Source organism: Homo sapiens, chromosome 19, assembly GCF_000001405.40.
Source record: "Homo sapiens chromosome 19, GRCh38.p14 Primary Assembly".
Classification (NCBI taxonomy): domain Eukaryota; kingdom Metazoa; phylum Chordata; class Mammalia; order Primates; family Hominidae; genus Homo; species Homo sapiens.
In genome coordinates, this window is record NC_000019.10 from 33,042,664 (window position 1) to 33,060,236 (window position 17,573).

The 17,573-nt window shown below is 48.2% G+C and overlaps 1 protein-coding gene and 1 pseudogene across 1 annotated transcript in view, besides 5 other annotated features; one reads left to right on the forward strand and one right to left on the reverse strand.

Moving 5' to 3' along the window:
- Positions 1-17,573, reverse strand: part of RHPN2 (rhophilin Rho GTPase binding protein 2) — an 86,297-nt gene that overhangs the window by 64,072 nt on the left and 4,652 nt on the right. The window contains exon 2 of the mRNA NM_033103.5: positions 1,586-1,701. Coding sequence (NP_149094.3) covers positions 1,586-1,701 — 116 coding nt within the window. The remainder of the gene's footprint in view (positions 1-1,585; positions 1,702-17,573) is intronic.
- Positions 657-1,207: an enhancer, noted in NCBI's record as "H3K27ac-H3K4me1 hESC enhancer chr19:33534226-33534776 (GRCh37/hg19 assembly coordinates)". NCBI's record gives its function as "activates a minimal SCP1, AML or CMV promoter by ChIP-STARR-seq in naive H9 embryonic stem cells {active_cell/tissue: H9 hESC(naive)}" and the evidence as "EXISTENCE:reporter gene assay evidence [ECO:0000049][PMID:30033119]".
- Positions 5,617-6,335: an enhancer, noted in NCBI's record as "H3K27ac hESC enhancer chr19:33539186-33539904 (GRCh37/hg19 assembly coordinates)". NCBI's record gives its function as "activates a minimal SCP1, AML or CMV promoter by ChIP-STARR-seq in primed H9 embryonic stem cells {active_cell/tissue: H9 hESC(primed)}" and the evidence as "EXISTENCE:reporter gene assay evidence [ECO:0000049][PMID:30033119]".
- LOC124904805 (uncharacterized) lies at positions 8,740-8,841 on the forward strand (annotated as a pseudogene).
- Positions 12,184-12,684: an enhancer, noted in NCBI's record as "H3K4me1 hESC enhancer chr19:33545753-33546253 (GRCh37/hg19 assembly coordinates)". NCBI's record gives its function as "activates a minimal SCP1, AML or CMV promoter by ChIP-STARR-seq in naive H9 embryonic stem cells {active_cell/tissue: H9 hESC(naive)}" and the evidence as "EXISTENCE:reporter gene assay evidence [ECO:0000049][PMID:30033119]".
- Positions 13,818-14,341: an enhancer, noted in NCBI's record as "H3K4me1 hESC enhancer chr19:33547387-33547910 (GRCh37/hg19 assembly coordinates)". NCBI's record gives its function as "activates a minimal SCP1, AML or CMV promoter by ChIP-STARR-seq in naive and primed H9 embryonic stem cells {active_cell/tissue: H9 hESC(naive and primed)}" and the evidence as "EXISTENCE:reporter gene assay evidence [ECO:0000049][PMID:30033119]".
- Positions 14,342-14,865: an enhancer, noted in NCBI's record as "H3K4me1 hESC enhancer chr19:33547911-33548434 (GRCh37/hg19 assembly coordinates)". NCBI's record gives its function as "activates a minimal SCP1, AML or CMV promoter by ChIP-STARR-seq in naive H9 embryonic stem cells {active_cell/tissue: H9 hESC(naive)}" and the evidence as "EXISTENCE:reporter gene assay evidence [ECO:0000049][PMID:30033119]".

Genomic DNA, 17,573 nt, shown 5'->3' on the forward strand with positions numbered 1-17,573 from the left:
GCTCATGTTTGTAATCCCAGCACTCTGGGAGACCAAGGCAGGAGGATCACTTGAGGACAACAGTTCGAGAACAACCTGGGCAACACAGCAAGACCCTGTCTCTACAAATAATTTTTAAAAAATCAGTCGGGCATTGGCCAGGCACAGTGGCTCACGCCTGTAATCCCAGCACTTTGGGAGGCTGAGGCGGGTGGATCACGAGGTCAGGAGTTCGAGACCAGCCTGGCCAAGTTGGTGAAACCTCGTCTCTACTAAAAATACAAAAATGAGCCGGGCACGGTGGCGGGCACCTGTAATCCCAGCTACTGAGGAGGCTGAGGCAGGAGAATCACTTGAACCTGGGAAGCAGAAGTTGCAGTGAGCCAAGATCACGCCACTGCACTCTAGCCTGGGTGACAGAGCAAGACTCCGTCTCAAAAAAAAAAAAAATTAGTCGGGCATGGTGGTGCATGCCTGTGGTCCCAGCTACTCAGTAGGCTGTTAGGAGGATTGCTTGAAGAGCCCAGGAGGTTGGGGGCTACAGTGAGCTGTGATTGCACATTGCACTCCAGCCTGGGCAACAAGAGCGAAACTCCATCTGAAAAAAAAGAAAAAAGGTGGCATGACGCCAGACGCAGTAGCTCGCGCCTGTAATTCCAGCACTTTGCGAGGTGGAGGCAGACGGATCACTTGAGGCCAGGCGTTCAAGACCAGGCTGGCCAACATGGTGAAACCCCGTCTCTACTAAAAAGACAAAAAATTAGCCAAGCATGGTGGTGCATGCCTGTGGTCCCAGCTACTGGGGAGGCTGAGGCAGGAGAATCACTTGAACCCAGGAGACACAGGTTGCAGTGAGCCGAGATCACGCCACTGCACTCTAGCCTGGGCGACAGAGCAAGACTGTCTCCAAACAAACAAAAAACAAGGCGGCACGGGGCTAACCATGGTCTCCAGTAGAACTCTGAAGGAAGAAGAAACTCTGCACTCTTTGTAAACAGAGTGCTGGCACATTGTCTTTTGTTGCATTTCGTTGCCTGGAGAGGGTTTATAGAGGTCTAGACACAGGTAAGGCTTCTCTGAGTTCTATGCTGGGTAAGTAACTGTTTTACCACGAGAGCATACTAATGAGTGCCCTAGATCACGGGGGTGTACTGAGCCCTCTCATTAGCAAGGTGGACACTGGCAATAGAAATATCCCCTCTCCTTCCTTTCTGCTTTTCTTTCCTTTATATATTCAATAAACATTTACCAAGCAAATTCTGCACCAGGCATAGTGTCAGGCAGTGGAGAAAATAGACAAGTCCCAGAGAAAGCCAGAAAACAAACCTCGAGACAAAAATTGGGCTTCCCATCAAGATGGCTGACTGAATTGAAGCCAAATGCCACACCGTCTGCATCTATCTCCCACCCACCCAATCCCCAAACACACAAACAGGCGGGGTAAAATATCTGTTTTCAACATAACCAAGCTATAGGCAAGAAAGGGACGACTCCAGATGCCAGAAATGAGGAGGAAACCCAAAGCTGAAACCAAGAGCCTGGCCTGGGAGTTTAGGGAACAGATGACTAGGACTCAGGAGAGGCAGGGAAGCCAGAAGACACCTACTTCAGAAGGTTTTCCGCTCCGGTCCTCATCCGCACGGCTTTCAGGATCTGCTGATTCAAAGCAGCTCTTTGATTCTGCAATTTACTCCGGCCGGTTTGTGCAAGGGGATTACAGCCCTGAGGAAAAATAAGAGATGCCCCTTCAGAGGTCGGCCACTCTAAAAATGATGACAGGGTTTAATATAATGGAAAATGTTTAACTTTAAAAATAATCTTTTCTGAAAACAAAGCATCTACATAGAAAATATTGAAAAGTATAAAGAAAAGTCGCTCATAACAACACAATTGCAAAACAGCCACTGTGAATTGGTCTTTCCTTCTCATCTATTTTATTTATGTAATTTATTTTAGAGACAAGGTCTGAGCTAGGCACTGTGGCTCATGCCTGTAATCCCAGAACTTTGGAAGGCCAAGGCGGGTGGATCACCTGAAGTCAGGAGTTCAAGACCAGCCTGGCCAACATGGTGAAACCCTGTTTCTACTAAAAATACAAAAAATTAACCAGGTGTGGTGGTGGGCGCCTATAATCCCAGCTACTCAGGAGGCTGAGGCACGAGAATCGCTTGAACCTGGGTGCTGAAGGTTGCAGTGAGCCGAGATTATGCCACTGCACTCCAGCCTCGGCAACCAAAGTGAGACGCTGTCTCAAAAATAAATAAATTAATTAAAGACATATCTCTAGGGCAGAGTTATAAGATCAAACCTTTCAGGGCTACCCATGGGCCAGCCCAATCATCCTCCAGGACAGAAAGGCACCCACACCCTTGTGACCGCTTTCCCCCTCACTGTTACTGAGTATCTACTTTTTTTTTTTTTTTTTTTGGAGATGGAGTCTCGCTGCGTGCCTAGGATGCAGTGCAGTGGCGCGATCTCGGCTCACTGCAATCTCCGACTCCTGGGTTCAAGTGATTCTCATGCCTCAGCTTTCCAAGTAGCTGGGACTACAGGTGCATGTCACCATGTCCAGGTAATTTTTGTATTTTTAGTAGACACAGGGTTTCGCCATGTTGCCCAGGCTCGTCTTGAACTCTTGACTTCAAGTGATCCACCTGCCTTGGCCTCCCCAAAGGGCTGGGATGGCAGGTGTGAGCCACTGCGCCTGGCCTACTTTTTTTATTTAGTAACAGCTTTATGGAGATATAATCCATATACCATACGTTTTGCCCTTTTAAAATAAACAATTCATTGGTTTTTAGTATATTCAGGAGTTACAGAACCATCAGTGCTATCTGATTTTTTTTTTTTAGATGGAGTCTTGCTGTGTCATCCAGGCTGCAGTGCAGTGGCACAATCTCGGCTCACTGCAACCTCTGCCTCCCAGGTTCAAGTGATTCTCCTGCCTCAGCCTCCCGAGTAGCTGGAATTACAGGTGCCCACCACCACGCCTGGCTAATTTTTGTATTTTTAGTAGAGACAGGGTTTCGCCATGTTGGCCAGGCTGGTCCTGAACTCCTAACCTCAAGTGATCTGCCTACCTCAGCCCCCCAAAGTGCTGGGATTACAGGCGCGAGCCACCACGCCCATCAACCACTATCTGATTTTAGAACATTTTCATCAGCCTAAAAAAAAAGCAAGTAGCCATTAGCATCGCTCCTCATTTCCTTTTCCCCTTAACCCCAGCCCTAGGCAACCACCAATCTACTTTCTGTCTTTACAGGTTTGCTTATTCAAGATTATTTCATATAAACGGAATCATATAATATGTGGCCTTTGCATCTGGCTTCTTTCATTTGCCATGATGTTCTCAAGGTTTATCCAGGTTGTAGCATGTATCAGAACTTTGTCCGTTTTTGTCCCTGAATAAGATTTCATTACATAGATACACCACACTTGTGTACTTTATCCATTCATCATTCATCATACAATGGGCATGGGGAGTGTTTTCACTTTTTGACTATTACGAATAAGGCTGTTTATGTGCGTACAAGGTTTTATATGGATATGTGCTTTTGTTTCTCTTGGCTATAAATATAGAAATAAAATGTCTAGATCAGGTGGTTTTTTTGTTTTGTTTTTATTTTTGATTCTGTTTTTTTGAGACAGAGGCTTGTTCTGTCGTCCAGGCTTGAGTGCAGTGGCTCGATCTCGGCTCATTGCAACCTCTGTCTCCCAGGTTCGAACGATTCTCCTGCTTCAGCCTCCCGGGTAGCTGGGATTACAGGCGTGCACCACCATGACCAGATAATTTTTGTATTTTTAGTAGAGAGGCGGGTTTCATGATGTTGGCCAGGGTGATCTCAAACTCCTGACCTCAAGTGATCCGCTTGGCTTGGCTTCCCAATATGCTGGGATTACAGGCGTGAGCCACTGAGCCCGGTCTAGATCATATGATTTATTCTATGTTTAATGATTTGAGGAACTATCAGGCTCTTCAAAGTGGTTATACAATTTTACAACCCAACTAACAGGATGAGAGTTCCAATTCATCTACATCTCACCAATACAGGTGCTGGTCTATCTTTTTTATTACAGCTACCTTATGTGTGTGCTGTCTCACATCGTGGTTTTGAATTGTGTCTCCCTGACAGTTAATGATGTTGAATATCTTTTCATGAACTTATTGGCCAACTGTATATCTTCTTCGAAGAAATATCAATTCAGATCCTTTGCCCATTTTTTTTTTTTGAAACAGGGTCTCAGTCTGTCACCCAGACTGGACTGCTGCAGTGGTATGATCTTGGCTCACTGCAACCTTCACCTCCTGGGTTCAAGTGATTCTCCTGCCTCAGCCTCCTGAGCAGCTGGGACTACAGGTGCATGCCACCACGTCCGGCTAATTGTTCCATTTTTTGGTAGAGACAAGGTTTCACCATTTTTTTGCCAGGCTGGTCTTGAATTCCTGACCTCAAGTGATCTGCCCATCTTGGCCTCCCAAAGTGCTAGTCTTACAGGTGTGAGCCACCACACCCAGCTCTCCTTTGCCCAGTTTTAAACTGGATTGTCTTTTTATCTGTCTGGTTGAAAATTATTTTTAATTTCTGTCAAGTTGACATGCAAAAATAGATAGCTCATTCTTCTAATTTGTATGTTTATTATAACAGTGAAGGTAAAGGTTTTTCCATATAATCTTGACACTTTAATTTCTTTTTCAACAAATTGTCTGTGTTCTCTGACCATTGTGCCCTGGGGTATTTGGATTACAACGCTTCACGCTAAAAGTTTAAGATCAGAATAAAAGCTGCATTTTAGCTGAATGGTGTTCTTCCCACCCCAGACAGGTAGAAGCCTCAGGACCTGGGATACGCCCACATTCCTCTTTGCCGCTTATCTCTAGGTCCTGCCCACTGCGGTTACTCCCTGGGAGCGGTCTGGCGGGTAGTATTACGTGGTGAAGAGACTGCCCTTTCTCTCTCCCTGAGTCACATCTCAGGCCTGCACACACCTGGCCTCTCCGACCTCTGCCCAAGCCACACCCATGGCCTGGACCCCAGGGAGGGAGATGTGAGTTATCTATAGCGGAAACCTCCTCAGGAATCCCAGTATTCTCCTTCCACAGAGATTTCTCATTCTTGGCCAGAATGGTCATGGTAGCTCACAACTGTAATCCCAAGCACTTTGAGAGGCTGAGGCCAGAGGATCGCTTGAGGCCAGGAGTTTGAGGCTGCGGTGAGCTACAATTGCGCCACTGCACTCCAGCCTGGATAACAGAGTGAGACTCTGTCTCTACAAATAATAATAAAAATTTTTAAATAATAATAAAAATAAAAGACTTCTCATTCTCATTTCCCATCAGGTCACCACCACCCATCCCCCACATAGCCCCACAACCTAATTTTCCCTGTCTCGCAAGGACACTTTCCCCCAAGTTCAAATTGCACAGATATTCGGAATTCGAGTTGGCTTCTGTAGACAGGCTGGAGTGCAGTGGTACGATCTCAGCTCAGTACAGCCTCTGCCTCCTGGGTTCAAGTGATTATCCTGCCTCAGCCTGCTGAGTAGCTGGAATTACAGGCACCCACCACCACACCCAGCTAATCTTTCTATTTTTAGTAGAGATGGGGTTTCACCGTGTTGGCCAGGCTGGTCTCGAACTCCTGACCTCAGGTGATCCACCCGCCTCGGCCTCCCAAAGTGCTGGGATTACAGGCATGAGCCATGGCATCCAGCCCTGGAATGGATTTTAAAATTAATATCGTTTAAAGCATTAAACGGTTTCCAATTTTGTCTTTCTTCAGATTTAAGATTAAAATATCTTTGGCCGGGCATAGTAGTTCACGCCTGTAATCCCAGCACTTTGGGAGGCTGAGGCGGGTAGATCACCTGAGGACAGGAGTTCGAGAACAGCCTGGCCAACATGGTGAAACCCTGTCTCTACTAAAAATATAAAAATTAGCTGGGCGTAGTGGCATGCGCCTATAATCCCAGCTACTCTGGAGGCTGAGGCAGGAGAATCACTTGAACCCGGGAGGCAGAGGTTGCAGTGAGCCAAGATAACACCACTGCACTCCAGCCTGGGTGACACAGCGAGACTCAGTCTCAAAAAAAAAAAAAAAAAAAACTTTAATGTTAAGCTATTATAATTAAATATTAAATAACTAAAATAACTGTTCATCTCTTTCCTTTCCACTTCCAAAAATGACGACGATTCAGTTTGACTCTGAATTACCTGGATCACCACTGCTGTGTTTCATTTTACAGGGAAGCTTGAATAACTAATTCCTTTACGTACATTCCCAGAGCTCAGATAAGCAGCCATTCCAAACTACGGATAAGAATGTTTTTTTTTCTGTTCGTATACTTTCCCCAACTTCTGCTGGCCTGGAATCAGTACGCCCTAACCAGCCCATAGATATGTGGTCAGGTTTCTAGATAAGGCATAGGAACACTTAGGGTTAGATTTGACTGAGTAATTGGGCCCGAAACCACATTACTTATTCCTGACAGGTAGGAATGTTGGGCTTTGCTGGGGAACACAAGAAACACCCACGGGGCTGTGTGTGGAAACTTCCCTGAGAGGTAAATCTGGACAAGACTGTCAGAAAGACTCCCTGGCATCACCAGAAACTATTGGCCATCTACTAGCCCCTGCCAGGGGCTGCTCTGTAGGGGACAAGGTGGCGGGTCCACCATCCCCACCCATACATTTCTCACCCCACCCCCTATCTTGTGTAATAACGAGACCTTAGCCCTGAACAAACAGCTTCCAGAATAGCCTCTGCAACTCAGAGACAGGGATTGGTTCTCAACAGAACACAAAGCCGCTCTGAGACTGGAGTGAGGGTTTGCACCAGGGACTGGGGCTAAACCTCTCACACCTGTGGGGCCAACTGAGCTGTCCTGACCTCGGGATCTGCTGTTGACAAGTTCTACAGTGAAGTGAGACTTTCTCCTCCACAGAGTCTATTCCCTTCCCACACTAAGGTTCGGACATTTCCGTCAGTCCCGAAACTTGAAGAGTGGGCAAACAGCCAACACCCAAGAAAAGCAAGTACTGAGTGAACCCCCGTGTCATCACCAGCTTTACAGGCAACTCCTGGGGTCGGCCCGCTTATGTGGACCCTGGTACAGCATCTCGGATCCCATGGTTCTGCAGCAAGGAGGCTATATGAGCAACTTGAGATCCTAGAGGCAGGCAGTAAAAGTTGGGGTGGGATTTAAGACCCTGTCCTTCCTGCTGCTCCAGGATGAGCGGTGAGGCGGTGTGAGCGGTAGGAATGCATGCAACCCCCAGACACCCCTTCATGGGTGATGGCTGCCCACCATCACCCCACATCTTTTGGGGGAACAGTGATGCCAGCCCACTCTCCCGCCTCATAGCCCATGATGGCCTGGTGGGGGGCAGGGGTGTGTGTGTAAATCCATGCTCCCCCAACATCCTTTCCAAAGGGAAGAACATCTGACTTCTGCCTGGCCCATTGGAAAACCAAAGCCTGAAGATCAGGGTCAATCGAAACCCATCAGGAAGAGGTCCTCATTGGCCTTGAACCTGGGAGGCTGTGACACTGAGCAGTTGCAGCCACCTTACCACCAGCAGAAGAGTGTCTCCCTAGACAGGGAACCAACCCCAGGTGGGCTGAGCTGAGAAACAGATTTGGCGATGTCATCTGAGCCCTGGATCAAGCTAGGCCTGAAGCCATCCCTCTGTACTTTTCATTTACAGCAACCAATTCATTCCCTTCTTTGTATCTCAATTTTCTGAATTGAGATACAATTTATATATAATAAAATACACATATTTTAAGTATATAGTTCAATGAGTTTGAACAAACATATAAACCTGCGTAACCATCACTCCTATCAAAATACAGAACACAGAACATTTCCATCATCCCCAGGCAACCAATACTCTGATTTCTATCACCACATATTTTTGTCTGCTTTTGAACTATGTAAATGTAATCAGATAGGATGTAGACTTTTATGTCTGGTTTATTTTGCTCAATACCATGTTTTCAGATTCACCCATGCTGTTTCATTTACCAGTAGTTTGTTCCTTTTTTTGTTTTTTTAGACAGAGTTTCGCTCTTGTTGCCCGGGCTGGAGCACAGTGGCGTGAACTCGGCTCACTGCAAACTCCACCTCCCGGGCTCAAGCGATTCTCCTGCCTCAGCCTCCTGAGTAGCTAGAATTGCAGGCACCCGCCACCACACCCGGCTAATTTGTGTGTTCCTTTTTTATTGTGGGATAGAATTCTATTGGAGGAACATACTAGGGTGTGTTTATCTGCCAAAGTTATTTTGGATTAAATTTTCTAGCACCTGCAACTAAAAAAGTACTAACTCAAATAAGTTTACCTAGAGTGAAAACTCTTTTCTTTCCTTTGAGACAGAGTCTCACTCTGTCACCCAAGCTGGAGTGCAGTGGCATGATCTCAACTCACTGCAACCTCCGCCTCCTGGACTCAAGCGATTCTCCTGTCTCAGCCTCCTGAGTAGCTGGGATTACAGGTGCACACCACCATGCCCGGCTAATTTTTGTATTTTTAGTAGACACAGGGTTTTGCCATGTTGGCCAGGCTGGTCTCAAACTCCTGGACTTAAGTGATCTGCCCACCTCGCCCTCCCAAAGTGCTGGGACTACAGGTGCGAGCCACCGCACTGGCCTAGAGTGAAAACTCTCTTTACAGGTCACTTACATGCCCTTAATGTACAGTCAGATTGTTCACCTGTAAGACACGTATTTAAGAGCAGCACCTAGACAAAGCCCACAGGCAGGAAGACTGTACTTCCAGGGATCATTTCTACAGTTCGTTACTAGAGAAGTTTCTCTGTACGTGTACAGCAACCGTTTATATTAGTGTGGCACACACCTATCTGAAAGCTTTGAGTGCAGCAATGCGGATTCACCTTGCTTGTAACTACTGTTCTTAAGCTCATAAAACAGCTAAATAATGTGGTGTAACAACTAAATGTGTGCCCAGAGAAAAGCCTCAGAATGTTATCCTAGGTGAAATCTGTTCAGTGAACAGACAGATCACAGCTACAGTGACATTTCTGCCACTGTTACAAGTTTCTTACAAAGTGAGAAAGTGGCTGTCTAAAATCAGACAAAGGCCTGGTGTGGTGGCTCACGTGTATAATCATGGCACTTTGGGAGGCTGAGGTGGGCGGATCACTTGAGGTCAGTAGTTTGAGACCAGACTGGCCAACATGGTGCAACCCTGTCTCAAGCAAAAAATACAAAACTTAGCCCAGGCGTGGTGGCGTGTGTCTATAGTCCCAGCTACTCGGGAGTCGGAGGTTGCAGTGAGCCGAGAACTTGCCACTGCCCTCCTGCCTGGGTGACAGAGTGAGACCCTGTCTCAAAAAAAAAAAAAAAAAAAGAATTAAAGTCAGAAAGAGAGCCCTTACCAAAAACTGACCGTGCTGGCACCTTGATCTTGGATTTCTAGCCTCTAGAACTGTGAAAAATAAATTTATGTTAAGTTAAAAAAAAAATATAAAACTGGAGGCAGGCACTTAATTAGGAAGAAAGGAAAGGGTGGTCAAGCTACTCCTGGAACAGGGCAGTTTTTCTTCCCCTATGGGGGCCCTGCTCCATTCTGGGCAGTGCCTGGCACCTGCTTCCCCTCCACTATAGGCAATAGTATGGGCCCTTCTTCTGCACAGCCAAAGATAAAGCTCACACATGCAGAGGTGTTTCCAGCAAATTTAGGGCAATGTGCAAGCTTGGGATCTAAAGGTTCAGGCGTAAAACTAAGTGAGAGATGACACGGTAGGGCTGGGCCAGCTCCCAGCCAGAGAGACCTTCCCACGGGATACAGGAAGGCAGGTGTTTTTAGCTGCTTCTCCAGCAAAGATTATTTTCTCTGCCTTTCTCACTCCTTCCTGGTTACGCAATCCCTCACTCAACCACCAAACTCTGGAAAACAGAATTGCTTGTTTATAAGTCAGCCAGAGCAATCAATGAGAAAGCACAGAAAATAGCATGCAGTACACTGCAATACACACATACATCTAATTTAACTTTTCACCACACTGGAGATTCAGGGCAGGCTGGGTGGAAAGAATCTAGCTTGTCCATGTCCATAAAAATAAAAACATGAATTCAGTACTTGTCAACAGCCCTCCTGCCCTTCCAGGATCTCTGCCAGGTGTCAGGGCTGGAGGTGAGGGCCCAGCCGCCTCCCCCGGGAATCCCAATCCATTCACACAGGGGTGGAGGGGGGCTCGATATGAGTCAACACAGCCATAATCTTTAGTTACGAGCTCCCTTCAGTCTCTTCCAGAAATCTCTATAAACCCCTACTGTGTGCCAATCACAGTTATTTTTCAATATGCTGAATAACTTTTTTTTTTTTTTGAGACGAAGTCTTGCTCTGTTGCCCAGGCTGGAGTGCAGTGGTGTGATCTCGGCTCACTGCAACCTCCACCTCCCGGGTTCAAGCGATTCTCCTGTTTCAGCCTCCTGAGTAGCTGGGATTACAGGAATGTGCCAACACACCTGGCTAATTTTTGTTTTGTTTTGTTTTGTTTTGTTTTAGTAGAGACGAGGTTTCACCATGTTGGCCAGGCTGCTCTCAAACTCCTGGCCTCAAGTGATCCACCCACCTCAGCCTCCCAAAGTGTTAGGATTACAGGTGTGAGCCACTGCGCCCAGCCTTGAATAACTAGGCTTTTACTGTGCCTCCCACCACATCAAATCGTGAACATTTCCATGAATCAACTGTATTTCCAGACCAATGATCTGCTTATTTCAACTGGTAGGACACACTCAACAACAGTTTTAACAGTTTTGCTTTTTTTTTTTTTTTTGAGATGGAGTCTCGCTCTCTTGCCCAGGCTGGAGTGCAGTGGTGCGATCTTGGCTCACTACAACCTCTGCCTCCTAGGTTCAAGCGATTCTCCTGCCTCAGCCTCCAGAGTAGCTGGGATTACAGGCGCACACCACCATGCCTGGCTAATTTTTGTATTTTTAGTAGAGATGGGGTTTCACCATGTTGGTCAGGCTAGTCTTGAACTCCTGACCTCGTGATCCACCTGCCTTGGCCTCCAAAGTGCTGGGATTACAGGCGTGAGCCACTGTACCTGGACACCCAGCTAATTTTTGTATTTTTTACTAGAGACGTGGTTTCACCATGTTGGCCAGGTTGGTCTTGAACTCCTAAGACCTCAGGTGATCCACCTGCCTCAGCCTCCCAAAGTGCTGGGATTACAGGTGTGAGCCACCGCGCCCAGTCTCTTGTTTTTGAGACAGGATCTCACTCTCTTGCCCAGGCTGGACTGCAGTGGCGTGATCTCCATTCACTGCAGCCTCAATATCCTGGGGCTCAAGCAATCCTCCCACCTCAGCCTCCCGAGAAGCTGGGACTACAGGTCCACACCACCACACTTGGCTAATTTTATTGTATTTTTTGTAGAGACAGAGTTTTGTCGATGCAGCCCAGGCTGGTCTTGAACTCCTGAGCTCATGTGATCTGTCCACCGTGGCCTCCTAAAGTGCTGGGATCATAGGTGTGAGCCACTACATCCAGCCTTGTTTTTTTACCACCTGCCCTTTTTTCTTCTTTGTTTTTTTTTTTTTTTTTTGAGACAGAATCTTGCTCTGTCACCCAGCAGGCCGGAGTGCAGTGGCACAATCTCAGCTGACTGCAACCCCCACCTCCGAGGTTCAAGCGATTCTCCTGCCTCAGCCTCCCGAGTAGCTGGGATTACAGGCACGCAGCACCACACCCGACTAATTTTGCATTTTTAGTAGGAACAGGGTTTCACCATGTTGTCCAGGCTGGTCTCGAACTCCTGACCTCAAATGATCCTCCTGCCTCGGACTCCCAAAGTGCTGGGATCACAGGTGTGAGCCACTGTGCTGGTCCCCTTTTCTCTTGTTACAATCAAATGGAAACCTGGCCATAGGGAACTCCGAGGGTCTGAATGGGCAGCCCTGAGGGACTCACATCATTCACCGTGGTGTCTCCGTCCCTGGTGCTCCAAGTGGGGAACCTTGTCCTCACTTGGCACCCATTACTGCTGCTCTGCCAGACACCCAGCCTCTGGCTGAGCGGTACCTGCAGTTCGACTGTGTCCTATGGCTACCTCCAATGCAGCCTTTGTGTCACGGGACGCTGGTACCTGAGCCAAAGGAGGAAGTGTTGATCAGGCTAAAGCCAACGCCCAGTAGCATCAGGTGGTGTCGTGGCAACCATCCAAATGGCCCCAGGAAACAAGGGACATTTACAGTGTTATAGTTCATCACGTTGTCTCTCCTCTGAGTCACCCTGAAAATTCTGTTTCTGCCAGGGGATACCTCCCAGCCAGGATCCCACAGTTGAAGACTGTTGGTCAGGCAGACCCTCGGGGCTGATGGTGGATACCATGCAGCTGGGCAGACCCTCCCCTCTCCAAGGCCACAGTCAGCCTGGATCCAGCCTGGCCTTTAAGATCTGGCTTAGGGCTGGGTGCAGTGATTCACACCTGTAATAGCCCACCACTGAGATGGGAGGATTGCTTGAGGCCAGGAGTTGAAGACCAGCCTAGGCAACACAGTAAGACCCCATCTCTACAAAAAATAAAAATAAAAATCAGCCAGGTGTGGCAATTTTTAATCACATCTCTAGTCCCAGCTAGTTGGGAGGCTGAGGCAGGAGGATCACTTGAGCCCAGGAGGTCAAGGCTACAGTGAGCTACAACGGTGCCACTGCACTCCAGCCTGGGTGACACAGCCAGATTCTGTCATCTTTAAAAAAAAAAAAAGCTGTTTTAGACCATCATGGGGAATCAGGAGTGGGGTCAGCATCACCAACCTTTACTCTCCTCTGCCTCCCTCCCTCTCCACCTGGGAATTGACTCAAGGGTCCAAGGGGATGGATCTAAACAGCCGGAGGGGTAGTATCAGTACCAATAGAGCTGGAGCTGCTGATCCCACATGACCCACGCTGTTCCTGGTGGACTCAGCCCATCAGAAGGCTTCCTCATCCACACAAGCGTTCATAAAAGATGCACACAAGTGTCTAACACGAAATTAGCCCTCACTAAGATGAATGCTGCTCATTCATCAAAGAGTAGATCCCTGCTCCTTGCAGAGAGAAGACTGCAAGGAGCTTCTGGGTTAAAAAAAAAAAAAAACAACAACAAACAAAAATTCTCCTTCCTTCTCTGCCGGAGCCTCCAGGAAGCCCAGAGTCAACAGGGACCATAAACCAGGACACAATGAACCCGGAGGCCCTGTCCAGGCTGGAGGTTTCTGTGAACAAGAAACAACTTCTCCTACAGCTCTTGAGTAAAAACAATGGAGCTAAATTCATTTTGGGGCATTAGCATTCCCAAAGGATGAAGAGGCAGAGATAAGAAGTGACAATGCCTCACTGTGTACTCACTCTCCTCTTCCACATAGTGCCAAGACCTTTCATTTTGGGCCTTTCAATGGCCCTGGGGAAAGGCTTTCTCTAGTTTGTTTCCAGCTGCTTTTCTTTTCTTTTTTTTTTCTTTTTTCCTTTTTTTTTTTTTGAGACGGAGTTTTTTGCTCGTTGCCCTGGCTGGAGTGCAATGGCGTGATCTCAGCTCACTGCAACCTCTGCCTCTCAGGTTCAAGCCATTCTCCTGCCTCAGCCTCCCGAGTAGCTGGGATTACAGGCATGCACCACCACACCCAGCTAATTTTGTATTTTCAGTAGAGACGGGGTTTCTCCATGTTGGTCAGGCTGGTCTCGAACTCCCAACCTCAGGTGATCCACCCACCTCAGCTTCCCAAAGTGCTGGGATTACAGGCATGAGCCACCACCCCCGGCCTTCCAGCTGCTTTTCTTCATGGCCACAACAGATTTTCCTGTGAGTTTTAGTACTGTGGGGTACAGGGGCAGTTGCAGAAAAGGAATCTCTATCAGGATGCAGCATTCTAGAAAATTACATTACTCTGCATTTAACTACAGGCCAGAGAACAATAATTCTTCCAAGATTTTCAGTAGGAAGAGCATAAAAATCTGGGGAAAAGAAGTTGCATTTCCACTTCTTGAGAAATTATAGTAATATAAGTTGAGAAAGTAATTTATAATAATCTTATAGAGCTGTACCTCTGTTTAAACACAGTAACATAATGAGAAAGAAAAAATATAGTGAGAAGCCAGGGAAAGCTGGGTGCGGTGGCTCATGCCTGTAATCCGAGCACTGTGGAAGGCTGAGGCTTGGGCCCAAAGAGTTCGAGACCAGGCCGGGCGCAGTGGCTCACGCCTGTAATCCCAGCACTTTGGGAAGCCGAGGCGGGCAGATCACAAGGTCATGAGATTGAGACCATCCTGGCTAACATGGTGAAACCCCATCTCTAATAAAAATACAAAAAAAAAAAAAAAAATTAGCCGGACATGGTGGCGGTCGCCTGTAGTCCCAGCTACTCAGGAGGCTGAGGTAGGAGAATGGCGTGGACCCGGGAGGTGGAGCTTGCAGTGAGCCGAGATGGTGCCACTGCACTCCAGCCTGGGCAACAGAGCCAGACTCTGTCTCAAAAAAAAAAAAAAAAAGAGTTCGAGGCCAGCCCAGGCAACACAGTGAGACCGTCTCTACAAAAAATTTAAAAATTAGCCAGGCTTTGTGGCTCATGCCTGTTGTCCCAGCTACTCAGGAGGCTGAGACAGGAGGATCACTGGAGCCAGGGAGGTTGAGGCTGCAGTGAGCTATGATCATGCCACTGCACTCCAGCCTGGATGACACAGCAACACCCTGTCAAAAAAGAAAGAAAAGACAAGAAAAGAAAAGAAAAAAGTGAGAGACATGATTTTATAATAGACCTGAGGCTGGGCATGATGGCTCACGCCTGTAATCCCAGCACTTTGGGAGGTCAAGGCAGGCAGATCACCTGAGGTCTGGAGTTCGAGACCAACATGGAGAAACTTTGTCTCTACTAAAAATACAAAATTAGCCGGGCATGATGGCACATGCCTGTAATCCCAGCTACTCAGGAGCCTGAGGCACATCACTTGAACCCAGGAGGCAGAGGCTGTGGTGAGCCAAGACCGTGCCACTGCACTCCTGCCTGGGTGACAGAGCGAAACTCCATCTCAAAAAAAAAAAAAAAGATAGAAAAAAAAAAATAGACCTGAAAGGTTTCTTTTTTCAGAGACCTCCCAAGGTACCAGCCCAGACCAGGAGATCTGTACTGCGGGTGTCCATTTCCAACCTGAGGCTAAGTTATGTCTTGAGGCTCTGTACAGCCAAGTCATCCTACCTGATTCCAAAAAGACCAATTAACAAGGGGACTCCTGGGCTCGGCGCAGTGGCTCACACCTGTAATCCCAGCACTTTGGGAGGCCAAGGCGGGCAAATCACTTGAGGTCAGGAGTTCAGGACCAGCCTGGACAACATAGTGAAACACCATCTCTACTAAAAATACAAAAATTAGCTGGGCATGGTGGCGGGTGCCTATAATCCCAGCTACTTGGGAGGCTGAGGCAGGAGTATTGCTTGAACCCCGGAGGCGGAGGATGCAGTGAGCCGAGAGTGCACCACTGCACTCCAGCCTGGGCAACAGAGCGAGACTCCATTTCAGAAACAAAAAAAGCCAAGAGGCTGATTCCTTTTCAAGCATGGCCGGAGCCATCCCAACAAAGCACCAATTCCCAGCACTGCTCAGCACTCCAGGAAACGAGACCTGCTGGGAACTGCTGCCAAAGAAACTGTATCGAGTCAGGGTCTGGAATGCCCCAGAACCTGAGGAGGGGTCAGGCACTGAGCTGTCGCTCCATAAATCCTTTTCGGATGAATGGAGCATAATGTCATTTTAAAGAAAAGGGGAGGGAAGGCATGACACAGAGAACAGGATGAAAGAGAAGCCTGACTTCAGTGGAAATTCATTTGATCCTTAAGTGTGCATAAAATCCCAATAGTCACCAGGCGCAGTGGCTCATGCCTGTAATCCCAGCACTTTGGGAGGCCGAGGCAGGTGGATTACGCAGTCAAGAGGTTGAGACCATCCTGGACAACATGGTGAAACCCCAACTCTACTAAAAATACAAAAATTAGCTGGGCGTGGTGGCACGCGCCTGTAGTCCCAGCTACTCAGGAAGCTGAGACAGGAGAATCACTTGAACCCGGGAGGCGGAGGTTGCAGTGAGCCAAGATCCCGCCATTCCATTCCAGCCTGGCGACAGAGCGAGACTCCGTCTCAATAACAACAAAGAAATCCCAATAGTCAAAATACAGGTCCAGGTGCAGGGACTCACACCTATAATCCCAGCACTTTGGGAGGCCAAGGTGGGTGGATCACTTGAGGTCAGGAGTTCAAGACCAGCCTGACCAACATGGTGAAACCCTGTCTCTACTAAAAAATACAATTAGCCGGGCATGGTGGCGCACATCTGTAGTCTCAGCCACTCAGGTGGCTGAGGCATGAGAATCGCTTGAACCCAGGAGGTGAAGGTTGCGGGGAGCTGAGATTGTGCCACTGCACTCCAGCCTGGGGGACAGAGCAAGACTCTGTCTCAAAAAAAAATAATAATAATACAAGATGGGAAGCCTCATGGGTTCTCACTCACTGCCCCCGGCTGGCTCAGCCACCCAATCAATGCAGCAGCTGTTGGCAATCTTCACCCCCCGCCTCGACTCCTGGGCCCCATCCCCAGCTCACCTTCTCCCTGAATCTCCAGCCATTCCCCACCCAACTTCTTCACTTTTGTTTTTTTCTTTTATCATTTTTTTTTTTTTTGAGACGGAGTCTCGCTCTGCTGCTCAGGCTAGAGTGCAGTGGCGCGATCTCGGCTCACTGCAACCTCCACCTCACAGGTTCAGGCAATTCTCCTGCCTCAGCCTCCCGAGTAGCTGGGATCACAGGTGCCCGCCACCACGCCTTGCTCATTTTTTGTATTTTTAGTAGAGACAGGGTTTCACCGTGTTGGCCAGGCTGCTCTCAAACTTCTGACCTCAGGTGATCCGCCTGCCTCGGCCTCCCAAAGTGCTGGGACTACAGTGTGAGCCACTGTGCCCTGCCACACCTTTGTCTTTAACCAGCTCTGGACTTCCACATTCTAAAACAAAGCTGCCTTCTCTCTTCTCAGCTCCCCTCTTTCTCCAGCAATATCTTCCCTGCCCTTCTCCCCCTGTACCCTGTCACACTGACTTTTGTCCCCAATTCTCCAACCATGCATTTCCTAACGACTCCTAAAGAACTAAATCTAGGACCTTCCAGCATTCTTCTGACTTGTCACGCCTTGCTCGACTAACAAGACTGACCTCTCAGCTTCCTAGACCTGGCCACCCTTCTGGCTTTCCTCCCACCTCTCTACCCACCTCTTAAGCGGAGGATCCTTTCTAGCCCAGATCCTTTCACTCAATACCCCAACTGCCTCCCAGTTGGTGCCACCCAAAACTGCATCTCCAGCCAGGGCGCCTGCATGGCTGCTGGGCCCATGGAGTGGGCTCTCTGCTGGGACCGCCACATGGATATCCCATGAGGGCCATCAAGTCTACACACTAGCCTCCGCGTTCACCCGCATTCATGGATCTTGAGGAGGCGCATGACCAGACACCTCAGGCAGGCATTGTGACGTTTTTTTTGAGACAGGGTCTCATTCTGCTGTCCAGGTTGGAATGCAGTGGCGTGATCTCGGCTCACTGCAGCCTCCATCT